Genomic DNA, 15,712 nt, shown 5'->3' on the forward strand with positions numbered 1-15,712 from the left:
TCCTGGGTGCTAAGATATGGCCTCTGGCTGCATCTATGTAGCTGCAGAGGACATGATTTCATTTTTTTATAGCTGCATAGTATTTCATGATGTATGTGTACCACATTTTCTTTATCCAGTTCACTGTTGATGGGCACTGAGGTTGATTCCATGTTTTTACTATTCTGAATCGTGCTGGGATGAAACCTATGAGTGCGTGTTTCTGTTTTTGGTAGGATGATCTATTTTCTTTTGGATATATATATATATATACCCAGTAATGGGATTGCTAGGTTGAATGGTAGTTCTGTTTTAAGTTCTTTGAGAAATCTCCAAACTGCTTTCCACAGTGGCTCAACTTATTTACATTCCCACCAACAGCGTATAAGCATTCTCTTTTCTCCACAGCCTCGTCAGCATCTGTTCTTTTTTGACTTTTTAATAATAGCCATTCTGACTGTGTGAGATGGTAGCTCTTTGTGGTTTTGATTTGCATTTCTCTGATGATTAGCAATGGGAACATTTTTTCATGTTTGTTGGCTGCTTGTATGTCTTCTTTTGAAAAGTATCTGTTCATGTTTTTTTGCCCATTTTTTAAATGGGGGTGATTTGTTTTTTACTTGTTGGGTTATTTAAGTCCCTTATAGATTCTGGATATTAGGACCTTTGTCAGAAACATAGTTTGCAAATACTTTCTCCCATTTTGTAGATTGTCCTTCTCAGCATTCTTGATTCAAATTCTAGCATCCATTTAACTACCTATAGAAACTTAGACAAATGACTTAACATCTTAGTTGTTTCCTCATCTGAAAAAATGGGATTAATATTAAATAATATAGGCAAAAGTACTTATGTATTATATGGCACATAGTAGGCCACAAGCAGCTAGCTGTTACCTTTTCTTCTGATCAAAAAATGTGAATTTACATCTTCATATAATATTGGTCATTTTTATCTGCTTTTTGGCCATTTGGTTTGGGTTATATATTTAATACATGGATTCTTAACTGTATTTCAGAAATGTTAAAATTTGAAATAATTTATTCTTAGGAAAAGCTGGTACGCTTGTGATCTGCTTTATCTTCCTTTTATTGTAGCCCCAAACAGAGATTTCAAGCCTGTATTTTGCCCCTACATCTTTGGGACTGCTAGCTCCTTGGCTGGATTTGCATGCTCATCACCCTCCCCTCTGCTCTGGAGCAGGGAGGCTCATCAGCACAGAAAGTTAAAATTTGCTGAAGCCATCTGTCTTTTGTTGGAGGAAGCAGCTTAGCCATAAGTTGTAGCTACTGTTTTAACAGATTTGCAAATAGTTAGGGTGGGTCTGGCTCAGGCCCAAGTAACTGATTGGGCTCATATGCACTAATTTAAGATCCACTGCCAGAATGAAAACTTCCCTTATATATCATCAGGCTCTGTTATTTGCAGGGTGTCAATTAAGGTAACTGGATAGAAGATCAAGAACACAAAGGACAGGAAGGTGGGACCCATATTTTACATGTGCTGGGGGAGAGGCATGATTTTGTGGAAATCTGTTTTATTGTGTTGAAATACTTGTGTGTGTTCTGCCTACTTCATGCTAATAAAGAATTGAACCCCAGTTATGTTTAGCTATGGAGTGATGATTAAGAGTGATGTCATTTACCAACCTGTTTTGTTCAATTTATGCCAAACATTCCATCTTAATATCATTTATCATTTTCTGACACTATATGATGTAGACAGTGGTATACAATGGTAACTAGTTTTTTATTTACCTGTTACCTGTCTTTTGTATTCAAAGTTGTGCTCCAGAAAGTCAGGGGTTATTTTTGATTTTGTTCACAGCTATATTCCCAGTGTGTAGAACAGTTCCTGGCACATGGTAGGTGTTCATTAAATATTTGCTGAATGGAGACACCTGATACTCTATGAAGACAATGTAGAACAGTAACTTAGAAAAGGGATTGCCAAACTAAGGCCCAAATCCAGCTCACCACCTGTTTTTTTTTTTTTTTTTTTTTTTTGAGACAGGGTCTCGCCTTGCTCTGTCACCTAGTCTAGAGTAGTGTGGAGTGATCATAGTTCATTGCAGTCTTCAACTCCTGGGCTCAGGTGATCCTCCCATCTCGGCTTCCCAAGTAGTTGGGACCACAGGCACATGCCACCATGCCCAGCTAATTTTTAATTTTTTAAAATAGCTCTTTGAAAAACAAAGCTAACTCCTAAGCAGTGTGCCCAGAGTCAACCTAATTTGTTATTTTTTTTTTTTCTTGTAGAATCAGGGTCTCGCCATGTTGCCCAGGCTGGTCTCAAATTCCTGGGCTCAAGCGAGCCTCCTGCCTCAGCCTCTCAGATACAGATACAGGCATGAACTACTGCCTTGGCCCTGCTGTTTTAAGTAAACTTTTATTGGAACACCACCACGCTTGTTTGTTTACCTACTGTCTATGGCTGCTTTTGCACTATAGCTCAGAGTTGAGTCGTTGCAACAGAGGCCATATGATCCATGAAACCTAAAATGTCTTCTCTGTAGTCATTTATAGAGTTTGCTGAGCCCCAGGATAAAGCATGGGCATTGGGATCCACCAGACTTGGATTTATTTTCTGGTCACTTAGTAGCTGTGAGGGCAAGTGATTTAAACTAAGATTTTGGTTTCCTCATGTGGAAAATGGTAATAACGATTCCTATCTCATTGGATGGTTGTAAGGGTTCACCAAGATGAAACATCAGGAAACATTAACTACTAATATGGAGCCATGTGTGCTGGGAATTTCATTTATTGGCGACCTCTTCATTACGCAGGATACTTTGTCATGTACTGAACAAAGGGAGGTGACGGAGGCCTGGCCCTTTCTCTGTGTGGCAGCTGAACAGTACCTGTAGTTTTTCTCCACTCTGTCTTCTTTGATCCCATTGCCACATAGTTGTCCTTGCTGTGTATAGGCTAATTTTTAAAAGTAAATGTAGTTTCTAGAAATATTGGTTGTTTTGTTATAATAGATTATTAAAACCATAATTTCAGAAGTAAGAATATGATTTGATTTTTCCTGTTAAGTTCTGCTTCACTTAAAATGAGAAAAAAATATGCTAGTTTCTACCTGTGGAGGTACTTGCATAAATACATTCCTTTAAAGGGGACCAAAACAGTAAAGCAATAAATAGAAATACCATCTACTGGTATAATTGCTATAAACTAATGCAAAAATGGGGTGTATTTAATTATTTATTTTAAAAGTTTTATATTGCTTTTGAATATTTGGAAAATACACAGGAATATAATGAAAGTGATTAAAAATTACAAACATTCCCACTACACAGAGAAAAAATTGACTTTTAATACATCTCTCCTACTTAAAGAACTGAGATGATAGTGTAAAAATAATTTTCCATCACCTCCTTTTTAACTTAATATTACATATTTGTCCAAAGGCTTAGAAACATTTTAAACATACTTTTTTGGTTTTTTTAAAATCAACTTTTTGTTTTGAGGAATATCTGCCCTGCAGAAAAGTGCAAAAAAATGCTTTGGTAACACCTGTATATTCTTCAATCGTCAATTATTTTTATTTGCCATATTAATTTTATCTCTCTCTACAGTTTATTTTGTTGAGCCCTAAAGATGACTTTTAATGGCTGCACGTATTTACTCCTGTGTATGTATCACAGTTAATTATTCTCAGGAATAGATTATTTCTCTTTTTACCTTTTTGTACCATTTAAAATTCAGTTCACTGAGCATTCGTGCTAAGCATTATACATACAAGATCTAACTTTAAAACTATAACCCTAAGGGGCAGGAGTTACAGAAGATAGGATTAAAGCTTAGAGAATTTAAGTAACTTGCCAAAGATCAAATAGCTAACAAGTGGAGGGGCTAAGACATGAATCCTGGTTTACTGGACTTAGAACTCTGTGTTTTTAATCACTTCATAGTAATATCTGTCTGCCATCTTCTTAGATGTTAACTCTTCTACAAAACCTTCCTGACTCCCATCTCTCCATACTTCCTTTGCTCCTAGAACCCTGGCTGCTTAGATGGATGGTACGCTATTTCAGTATAACAACTTCTTTTTTTTTTCTTTTTTTTGAGACGGAGTCTTGCTCTGTCGCCCAGGCTGGTGTGTGGTGGTGCAATCTAGGCTCACTGCAATGTCCACTTCCCAGGTTCAAGAGATTCTCCTGCCTCAGCCTCCCAAGTAACTGGGACTACAGGTGCCCACCACCATGCCCGGCTAATTTTTATATTTTTAGTAAAGAAGGGTTTCACCATATTGGCCAGGCTGGTCTTGAACTTGTGGCCTCAAGTGATCCACCTGCCTCAGCCTCCCAAAGTGCTGGGATTACAAATGTCACTGGGCCCAGCCAGTATAACTTCTTTACTTTTCTTTGTATGTTATTAGACCACGAGCACGTTTTGCCCTGGATCTGTGTTAGTCATCTTTTACTCCTACTTTCTGACACATGGTAGTTGCTTAGTGAGTAATTATCGAATAAGTAAATGAATGGTTGAAAGCTTCTTAACACATATTACCAAATTGCTCTACATAAATCTTATACTAGTTTAAGTTGATTTGGAGGATTTCTGTTACTGAATTCACCACCTGCCAACATTGAGTGTTAGGACTCAAACAGTATGTTGTTTGGGCCATTTTATGTCCACACCACTCTTACAAATTTCTTTATGGGAAAGAAATTTTTGTCCCATTTTGTTAAATAAAATTTTAAAAATGAAAGCTTGTTTTTTAATAAAATATATATACATTGAAGAAAATTTGTTAAATTGGGAGCCATAGAGAACAAAATTACCAGGAATTCCACTATTCTGAAGCTTTTAAATAAAAACCCTGCTGCTGTTTTCCTATTTAAAAATAAACCATATGTTATCTTTCTTTCTTTCAATAATAATTACTTGGAGTATTTTCCTATGCATTAGTGGGCCTTTGAAAACCAAAATGTCAAAGGCTGAATAATGTTCGTCTCACGAAAAAAAGTATATTTATTATCAAAACAGTATTCTAGAATTGTAAACATAGCTATGGGGAACAGTTTAGGACATAAATATTTGTGCATATTACTAGACACTGAATATTTTAAATGAAAGTATTTCAAATATGCAGAAAAGTTTAGGTATTAGTGAAACAAATAGCCAAAGGTCAACTATACAGATATTTACAGCTATCCAATAACTTTCCATGTAGGCTAGGAACTCCTTCTACAAATAAAGTGATCAGAAAGAAATAGATGTTTACCATTTGAGGAAATGTTTCTATCTTGGTAGCTCCTAGTTTATGTTAAATGGGTGCTAGATTTACTAATTTCTGTTAATGCAGTTCAAGCTGTCTGAGATCTATTGTATTTACACAATACAATAGATTTTTTATTTGATTTGATTTCTTTTTATTTGATTTCTTTGGGGACACTCATTTAAAACAACTTTTCTTGACTATAGCTTTAAGAGCTGTCACAGCTGCAGATACAGCTGCAATTTTTTTTAGTTTTAACTAGAAACTCATCATTTACTCTTCCTTGAACACAGCTGGATATGTTCTTTTTTCCTGGTTGGTGGCACTGTTATACAGCTATTCATATGACTATATGTTGCTGCATACAAACTGGGTAAAATCATTATGAATTATTGGATGTAATTTTTATCATCTTATGCTATTTTGGGGGTTATATATTGCTTTCACTGCCACTAATTTCAGTAAGAGAAAAGTGTGTAAATCATAATGACAGAGCTAACTACAATTCTTGTCAAAATTGTTGGCTTATTCTTAGGATCCATTGGTTTTATGCTCTACAAATTAGAGGATCTAATTTGTAGTCTGCATTCCAATACTGACGTTTTTAGTGTGCTGCCTACTTGAACATTCATGTAAAACATTACAGGAAGAAATGAAGGCTGGGCACAGTGGCCCACACCTGTAATCCCAGCACTTCGGGAGGCCAAGGCAGGCAGATCACCTGAGGTCAGGAGTTTGAGACCAGCCTGGCCAACATGGTGAAACCCTATCTCTACTAAAAATACAAAAATTAGCCGGACGCAGTGGCGTGCACCTGTAGTCTCAGCTACTCGGGAGGCTGTGGCTGGAGAATCACTTGAACTTGGGAGGCGGAGGTTGCAGTGAGCCAAGATCACAGCATTGTACTCCAGCCTGGGTGACAGAACGAGACTCCGTCTCAAAAAAAAAAAAGAGTACATAAACACCCATCCCTGAAGAATATCATCTCATCCCCTTGTGAAAAAAAAAATCTCATCTCCTTTCCAAAAAATACCATCTCATTGTCTTGCCAATCAATTCCAAAGAGCTCAAAAAAACAATTAACAAAGTTAGTATAGTTCCCCTTTTTGTTCAAAAGAGGAAAGATTTGCTAACTCTGACACACATGGGAAGAGCTTATGAAATATTTTATTGGTTTTTGCTCTATTGTTCATTGCTATTGCATATAAACATAAGATTATATATATAATTTGTGCATTATAAATGTACCTCATTCATGCATAAATACATGCTTCATACATTAAACATGTATTTTTCCCCCATGCTTAGATCCAGTTTATTCCAGAAAAAAAGCAAAATTTTCTTCAAAGATCAAAAGCAACTATTAGTAGATGGAAAACTTTTAAATTTTTGCCTCCAATTCTTTTTTTTCTTGAGCTATGTATGAGGAAATCTATAGCTCAGACTGTGTCTGGTGTTAGTATGTATCAAGCTCTTTAGCCAGAAGGAGGAGCAAGGCAAGTGAACCACATCCCTTGGCACTTAGTTCCTTCTTACTTTCCCTATATGAGAGAGTACATGCACTCCTGAGCAAGGAGACTGCAGGGCGGGGATCTCTAGAATCCCCGGAGGACCAGGGGCTGCATAGCATTTACTTCATCTTACAGAGTTAAGTCTGAGATGACAGAAGGGACTTATCTAGGGCCCACAGCTAGTAAATTATAATGTCAAGATCAAATCCTGGTTTTCTCACCCTTATGGGTAATATTTAATGTCATTGTTCCCTTTATTACACTACTTTTTTCACCCTAGGGTGACAGCTCTCACAAAGTTCGGTCCTGGAACAATATGTTTGATAATTCTATACTAACAGGATCATATACTAATGGTACTAAAACTTGATTTTTTTTTTCTTCCCAGGATTCATACCTGTGTGTAGCCTTGGAGTGGCTCAAGTGGGTAGGATGAACTTTGGAAAGGATGTCAGCACCTTGAAATATTTCACCATCTGTGGCTTACAAGAGGGCTATGAACCATTTGCCGTTAATACAAACAGGGATATTACCATGTGGCTGAGCAAGAGGCTTCCTCAGTTTCTTCAAGTTCCATCAAACCATGAACATATAGAGGTTTGCTTTTTCTTTAAAAATCAGGCCATTTCTAAAAAGCAGGAAAAGAATATCTTTATACAAAGGAACTTCTGCTTAGACAATTATTATGACTTACTTAAAATGATGACCTTGATGTGTTATATAGTAGTGGAATCTAAGCAAAGATGGTACTTTCTACCAGCTATCAGTGGATGGGAAACTTTTAAATTTTTGCTTTCAATTCTTTTTTTTTTTTTCTTGAGCTATGTGTGAAGAAGTCTATAGCTCAGACTATGTCTGGGGTTTGTGCGCATCAAGCTCTTTAGCTAGAAGAAAGATCAAGGCAAAGGGAACCACATCCATTCTCATATTAGTTACGTTACAAGTAGCTTGTTAGAATGATGAAAAATACTTTCCTTTTTATGTGTGGGCAATGTCAGGCTGAATCTGAATATATAGAATTATAAGATAAATTTCCGAAACCGTCTTTAGAAACAGAAGCAGAACTCTATGACTATATCCATAGCACAGTAATCTGTTTAATCATCTCTTACAAAATGATGCCATGTGTGGACCGCATTTGGGATTCTGAAAACGTGATGTGCCTTAGTCATCTTTAGAATCAGGAAATTGACAATGGTGATTGGAATGTGAACTATCGCTTCTTCGTTTGCTAGGTGACCAGAATAGACGGCACCATAGACAGTTCCCCATGTTTAAAGGTCACTCAGAAGTCTTTTGGTTCTCAGAACAGCAACACTGATATCATGTTTTATCGCCTGAGCATGCCGATCGAGTGCGCGGAGGTCTTCTCCAAGACGGTGGCTGGAGGGCTCCCTGGGGCTGGCCTTTTTGGGCCCAAGAATGACTTGGAAGATTATGATGCTGATTCTGACTTTGAGGTTCTGATGAAGACAGCTCATGGCCATCTAGTGCCCGATCGTGTTGACAAAGACAAAGAAGCTACTAAACCAGAGTTTAACAACCACAAAGATTATGCCCAGGAAAAGCCCTCTCGTCTGAAACAAAGGTTACTAATTTATACGCTGTGATTTTAAATTTGTAGTTATGTGAGGAAGGTTACAGTCCAGAGTAAAGGGTCTCCTAGTGTAAATTTTTTCCTCCTTCTCCTCCTCCTCCTCCTCCTCCTCTTCCCCCTTCTCCTCCTCCCCCTCCTCCTCCTCCCCCTCCTCCTCTTCCCCCTTCTCCTCCTCCCCCTTCTCCTCCTCCCCCTTCTCCTCCTCCCCCTTCTCCTCCTCCCCCTTCTCCTCCTCCTCTTTGTGCAAAGGATGCTGTAGGGAAAAATTAAGCAACCTGTTAGTCATCTAATTTGTTAGCGTAGGTGCAATCTATCTCAAGAGTTACTTTTTAAGATGTCTGTGTTTACATTCTTGCCTGAAACTTGCAGAGCATTTTCTCCAAATAGTATTTTTTATGATAAAGGCGGCAAGTTATTTTAACATCCTTTCTTATACTAAATCAGAGTTTCTCAGTCTCAGCACTATTGACACTTTAGGCCAGACAATTCTTTGTTGAGGACACACCTTGGACATTGAAGGATGCTGAGCAGCATCCTGACCTCCACCCACTAGATGCCAGTAGCACTCCATCCCCCAAACTGTGAGAACCAAAAACATGTATTTTCAGATATTCCCAGATGTCCCCCAGGGAGCAAAATCGCCCAGGTTTAAGGCAACTCAATTGATTATATGCTCATATTTGAAGTAGACAGAACATTTTAATGTTGCTTATTGTTAGTCCTCTGAAATATTTCAGATTTTTGCTTAGAAGAACAAAGCCAGATTACAGCACAAGCCATTCTGCAAGACTCACCGAAGATGTCCTTGCTGATGATCGGGATGACTATGATTTCTTGATGCAAACGTCCACGGTATGAGGTTGCAGCTTTTGTCGTTTATTTCTATCTGTCACTCATTATGTTTTACATCTCCAGTAATACATACCGATTCATCATACTTAGTAACATTATTTTTAAAATGTCTGTTTCTGTTTTTGGATATATTTTGGGGACTGAAAGTTTGAAAAAAGTTTACGTATTATGATGGATATTATGCAATACAAGAGTTATTTTAGAAAAAATATTTGTAATGGCATGCATAATCTTAATTTTGCTCTGTTTCTTGACAAAATTTTAAATTGCCCTTGAATTTTTCAACTACATTTGATTTTCTTCATCTTACTGAATTGTCTGAAGATCAATCATCATAATTTGTGAGAGGTCAAGCTTTGCTCCCTTCCATTTTAAATTCTCAAAGCTACTTCTCCTAAAATGCTACATTGAAAAAGTATTTAGTTGTGTTCATTGTAGAGTGATCCCATATTTGAGTTTGATGTTCACATGTTCTGAACTATTTCAAAATGAGTTTAGGCCAGGTGCAGTGGCTTAAACCTGTAATCCCAGTACTTTGGGAGTTAGAGGTGGATGGATCATCTGAGGTCAAGAGTTCAAGACCAGCCTGGCCAACATGGTGAAACGCTGTCTCTATTAAAAATATAAACATTAGTGGAGTGTGGAGGTGGGCACCTGTAATCCCAGCTACTAGGGAGGCTGAGGCAGGAGAATTGCTTGAACCCAGGAGACAGAGGTTGCAGTGAGCCGACACGGTGTCACTGCACTCCAGCCTGGGTGACAGAGTAAGACTCTGTCTCAAAAAAAAAAAAAGTGAGCTTAAAGTTCAAAATGTTATGTGTCAGAGAAAGGAAAGGCCAAGAACATGCAAAAAAGGTGGGTGACGAGTATAAAAACCCAAACATTGGCCAGGTGCGGTGACTCGCGCCTGTAATCCCAGAACTTTGGGAGGCTGAGGCAGGTGGATCACCTGAGGTCAGGAGTTCGAGAACAGCCTGGCTAACATGGTGAAACCCCGTCTTTACTAAAAATATAAAAATTAACTGGGTGTCGTTGTGCACACCTGTAGTCCCAGCTACTCGGGAGGCTGAGGCAGGAGAATCTCTTGAACCTGGGAGGCAGAGGCTTCAGTGAGCTGAGATCACACCACTACACCCCAGCCTGGGTGACAGAGTGAGAGTCTATCTCAAAAAAAAAAAAAAAAAGTGAACATAGATTTGCATACATGTATAAGCTTGAAGAATTTGAAGCTTCCCTATGCTTAATGGATTCGTGGTTTTATTACATACATACACTGTATATGTGCACATATATATGTATGTGTGTATATTACACACATCTAGCACACACATATATGCTGACCAGCATAAAAAGACTTAAATCATTTAGCATGTTTGCTCAGATCACATCTTTTCTCTCTTTCCTGTTATTTCTTATTTAATTCAGGATCTCTGGTAAAAGACGTTTCTTAGTTTGTAGTGTTAGTCCTTTGTGCCTACAATATTTTCATTCACCCAAACGGTTTTAAACCAAGAAGTGAATTCTTAAGTCATTCACAGACTTAGACACAGTTAGGATTGCAAATCCAAGTTTTGTTTTGTTTAGTTTTACTTTGCCAATATTTGGTTCTGCTATCTTCACAGTACTATTACTCAGTGAGAATCTTTCCTGGACAAGAACCTGCTAATGTCTGGGTGGGCTGGATTACATCAGATTTCCATCAGTATGACACAGGCTTTGACTTGGACAGAGTTCGCACAGTAACAGTTACTCTAGGAGATGAAAAAGGAAAAGTGCATGAAAGGTTAGTTTTCCTCAATTTTTTGCAAGAATGACATGTGAAAAAAATATTGGTGAACCTAGCTATTCCTTTTCCTTGTATTTTGTGACCAAGGTATTTCTATTTATAGGAAGAATATAATCAAGCCATTAATGTCAATGTCGTTTTTGTTATTCATACAAACCAGTTAAGGAATCTAAATGTGTTAAATGTGCAAACATTGTACAGTAAGAGCAGTGCAGCCTTTTGGGGTAATGATCATATATTCCTTCAGGTAACATGACTAACAGCTTGGGTTACCAATACTTAGCCTTTGTTTTAGGGTTGAGAGATGGGTGAATGTGCGGCTTTTAACCAATGACTTGATATAGATTTCGGGAACTGGCTATGTGGTGGGGAGAAAACTGTGAAGACAATGTGGGCTGGTAGTTTAGACCAGGTGGACGCATTTGAACTCGGACTGAGGAGAAGTGGGTTCTTTCCTCAGCTTTGCCATTGACTCGCTGTGTGGCTTTGGGTAAGTCAGTTACACTTTCTGTGCCATCTTTTTTTCATTTGTAAAACAAACCAAACTCAAACCAAACCTTCAAAAAAGTGAAGAAGGCTATCTTCCTTGCAGAATAAGACAAGAGAAGATCTGACCATTGGCTTCTACCTTTTGTGCCCATGCATCCTCTCTGATCTGCTGTGACAGGTCTCCGAAAGAGTCCTTTATAACGTTGCTTTTCTTCTATACTTGCACCATCATTTTTTGGGAAACTCACTTTCCTGCCCTCGGGTTGTAACATATGAAGCATAATGGACTTAGCATTTTCAATGGGAGCCCAGCAAAAATCTCTAATGAAGAGCTCTTTACATAAGTTTGGAACAAAAAAACCACATGTCTCCAGGAATATTTTTTGGGGGCCATGCTTAATTTTCAGGGATGGCAACAGTATAAGTAAAGAACTCAATATAGGGATGGGATAACTGAAAGATGATTTTGTTGGAGGAAATGGAAGATAGGGAAGGGTCATTGGATTTTATGTAGATAGTGTGAAGAAATGCAGCCTACATTTGATTACTCAAAAACTGATTTATCCCAGCCTTTTTGTTCTTTCCCTTCTGCTTGCCTGGCTTTAGCCTTTTTTGCTGGTTTTGTTAATATGTTTACTGTACAGTGGCAAAGAAAGAGAATGCTGATAAGGCTCAAATTACTTAACTTTGTTACCATCTCTAGTAAAAGCTTTAGGGAAGGTGAAAATCAGGTGGCATTTGTGGTTAATATCACTGGGTTTTTTTTTTTTTTTTTTTTTTTTTTTTTTTTTTTTTTTTTTTTTGCATATTCTAGTTAAATCTGTCTCTCAGATCACTGGGAATTGTCCAGAAAGGGGCAAAATTTTAGCCAAATTTTAAGTATATCAAATCACTGAAGGCTTATGTAGAATTTGCCTAAGGACTTTGATAGTGTCTGGAAATAAATGCTTCTCATTTCAGAACAAGTGGTAAAACAAAACAAAACAAAAAAAAGCTAAAAAAAATCCATGAGATGAAAATTACAAATTTGGATGATTTTTAAATAGTTAAACTTTTTTGAACCCAGAAAAAGGTCTAGTTTGGTTTGAGTTTTTGGAGAGAAGGTGCAGGTCAGTTCTTACTTGGTTCCAACTTGTTGACCTGTCTTCATTAGGTGTGAAATGTAGAGACTTATAAGACCTGATTCAGAACGTCCACTGCAGTCAATGGAGTTTTGCTCAGAATCACAGAATCGGGCCTATTGTGCACCTCTCCCATTACAGCATGAGCTTGTTGCTTGCGCAGCATAATTTAGTTAGTTTGCAAGATATACCTGCTTTCTCTTTTATCTGTGGTTGTACAAAGATAAAAATGTTCTTTTGAAATTCAGCATCAAACGCAGCAACTGCTATATGGTATGTGCGGGTGAGAGCATGAGCCCCGGGCAAGGACGCAACAATAATGGACTGGAGATTGGCTGTGTGGTGGATGCTGCCAGCGGGCTGCTCACATTCATTGCCAATGGCAAGGAACTGAGCACATACTATCAGGTACGCGGTCAGTGATGATATCAGTCTTCTAGGGAGGAAGACTTCTTTCCCCCATTAAAGGAAAACACAGTTTGTAAGATCAAAAAGTAAAATAGACACATGTACATGTGCCCCTGGTCTGAAAATCAGCCGAGCAGACCTGCCCCTAGCAAGCCCTCCTCATAGCTGTCCCAGCCACTGCACTCCTGTGACCTGAGAAACAGGTCTCACCCCAACAAAGCTGCACAATCACCACCACAAATGCCTGTAGCGAGACCACTGAGGCACTTGCAGATGCTGCTGACATAAATTACAGCTGAAGAATCTGCACAGATACTACACTACCGCATCCACCCAGAACCAAAACCAGTGTATCCTACCCAACCGGTACCCTAGAACCCATCTACAGGAAAAGCTATTTCCTACAAAAGCTACTTCATAAAGTTGGAAGAAGCTACTGTTTTACCAGATGAACAGATATCAAAGGAACACAAGAAACACGCGAATGGAAGGAAACATGACTCCTCCAAAGGAACACAATAATTCTCTAGTAACAGATCCCCCTCCCCAAAATAAATTTATAGGATGCCTGAAAAGAAATTCAAAATAATGATCTTAAGGGAACTCAGTGAGATACAATAAAATGCAGATACTTCAACAAGATTAGGAAACCAATTCATGATCTGAATGAGATATTCAATGAAGAAATACATATAGTAGAAAAGAACTAAACAGAAATCTTGTAACTCAAGAATTCAATAAATGAAATAAAATATACAACTGAGGGTTTCAACAACAGACTAGATCAAGCATAAGAAAGACTTTATGAACTTGAAGACAGGTCTTTTGAAATAACCCATCCAGAGGGAGAAAAAGAAATAAAAATAAGAAAGAAGGAAAAAAGCCTATAGAACTTATGGGATGCCACTGAGCAATGGAGAAAGGCACAGAAAACGTTTAACAAAATAATGACTAATAACTTTCCACATCTTTGGAAAGATATGGACATCCAGATCCAGGAAGCTCAAAGGATCTCAAGAGAATCAACCCAGAAAAGTCCTTTCCAAGGCACATTATAATCAAACTGTCAAATATCAAAGAAAAAGAATCCTAAGAGTAATGAGAGAATAGCACCAAGTCATATATACTTGGATTTCCATTTGACTATCAGCAAGTTTCTCAGCAGAAACCTTGAAGGCTAGGGAAATGAGATATATTCAATGTGCTGAAAGAACAACTGTCAGCCAAGAATACTATGTCTAGCAAAGCTATCCTTCAGAAATGAAGGAAAAATAGAGTACTCCACAGATAAGCAAAAGCAGAATGAATTCACCACCTCTGGACCTGCCTTAGAAGAAATGCGTAAGGCAGTGCTAAAGCTGGAAGCAAAAGGATGGTAATTACTATCATGAAAACATGTAAAAGTATAAAACCCATTCGTAGAAGTAAATTTTAAATCAAACTCAGAATACTGCAGTACTGAAATGGTGCTATGCCAAATCTTTCAGACCTCTAGTACTCTAGTATGAAGGTTAAAAGTCAAAATTGTCAAAAGTAACTACAGCTACAAGTAGTTGTTAAGGAACATACAATATAGAGAGATGTAAATTAAGGCATCAGAAATATAAATTGTGAGGGGAGGGTAAAAGTCCAGAGTATTTTTTTTTTTTTTGAGACAGAGTCTTGCTCTGTTGCCAGGTAATGGTGGGATCTTGGCTCACTGCAACCTCTGCCTTCTGGGTTCAAGCAATTCTCATGCCTCAGCCTCCTGAGTAGCTGGGATTATAGGCATGCACCACCACACCCAGGTAATTTTTGTATTTTTAATAGAGATGGGGTTTCACGATGTTGGCCAGGATGGTCTCGATCTCCTGACCTTGTGATCCGCTCACCTCGGCCTCCCAAAGTGCTGGGATTACAGACATGAGCCACCATGCCTGGCCAGTCCAGAGTATTTTTATGCAACCAAATGTATCAGCTTAAGATGGTCTATTATAACTACAATATTGTTTGTCTTAGTTTCATAGTAACCACAAAGAAAAAATTGCAGCAGTCACACTAATGAGAAAGGGAAAGGTATCAAAGCTTAGCACCACAAAAAGGTATCAAACCACAAAGGTAAGCAAGAGAGCAAGAAAGAAATGAAGGATCTAGAAAACAACCAACAAAATATTAGGAATAATTCCTTACCTATCAATAATAACCTTGAATGTAAATGAATTAAATTGCTTAGTTAAAATATATAGAGTGGCTGCATGGATAAAAAGCAAGACTCAACTATATGCTGCCCACTAGAGATTCACTTCACCTTTAAGGACAGACATAGCCTGAAAGTGAAGGGATGGAAAAAGATTTTCAATGCAAATGGAAACTGAGAGTGAGCAGAAGTAGCCACACTTAGATAAAATAGACTTAATTCAAAAAATGTAAAAAAGAGTCAAAGAAGGTCATTAATAGAAAAGGATCAGTTAAGAAGATATAACAATTGTGAATTTATATGCATTCAACACTGGAGCATCCAAATATATGAAGTATGTTTTATCTAAAGGGAGAGATAGGCTTCAATGCAACAATAGTAGGGAAGTTCAACACCCCACTTTCAACAACAGCAGATAATCCAGACAGAAATTCAGCAAGGAAACAGCAGATTTAAACTGCACTCTAGACCAAAGGGACATACTAGACATTTACAGAACATTCTGTGCAACAGATGTATAGCTGAAGAATACACATTATTCTCAACTGCTCATGTGGCATTCTCCAG

The 15,712-nt window shown here is 37.9% G+C and overlaps 1 protein-coding gene across 18 annotated transcripts in view, besides 1 other annotated feature; it reads left to right on the top strand.

Moving 5' to 3' along the window:
• RYR2 (ryanodine receptor 2) overlaps positions 1 to 15,712 on the top strand; it is a 791,805-nt gene that overhangs the window by 540,505 nt on the left and 235,588 nt on the right. For 11 of the 18 annotated variants that reach the window (XR_007062490.1, XR_002957299.2, XM_006711802.4 and 8 more), the window contains 6 exons: positions 7,105 to 7,313; positions 7,952 to 8,304; positions 9,051 to 9,165; positions 10,788 to 10,948; positions 11,412 to 11,441; positions 12,810 to 12,969. Coding sequence is in view for 16 of the 18 variants with exons in the window: in XM_006711802.4 (XP_006711865.1) it covers positions 7,105 to 7,313; positions 7,952 to 8,304; positions 9,051 to 9,165; positions 10,788 to 10,948; positions 11,412 to 11,441; positions 12,810 to 12,969 (1,028 nt within the window). In the remaining 2 variants the exon portion in view is untranslated. The remainder of the gene's footprint in view (positions 1 to 7,104; positions 7,314 to 7,951; positions 8,305 to 9,050; positions 9,166 to 10,787; positions 10,949 to 11,411; positions 11,442 to 12,809; positions 12,970 to 15,712) is intronic. The other 7 variants (XM_006711805.4, NM_001035.3, XM_047427329.1 and 4 more) reach the window with 1 other exon arrangement.
• Positions 7,270 to 8,469: an enhancer, noted in NCBI's record as "BRD4-independent group 4 enhancer chr1:237753258-237754457 (GRCh37/hg19 assembly coordinates)". NCBI's record gives its function as "activates an origin of replication core promoter dependent on BRD2, P300/CBP, MED14 and CDK7 cofactors, and independent of BRD4, by STARR-seq in HCT116 cells {active_cell/tissue: HCT116}" and the evidence as "EXISTENCE:reporter gene assay evidence [ECO:0000049][PMID:35650434]".

This window comes from Homo sapiens, chromosome 1 (genome assembly GCF_000001405.40).
Source record: "Homo sapiens chromosome 1, GRCh38.p14 Primary Assembly".
NCBI lineage: Eukaryota > Metazoa > Chordata > Mammalia > Primates > Hominidae > Homo > Homo sapiens.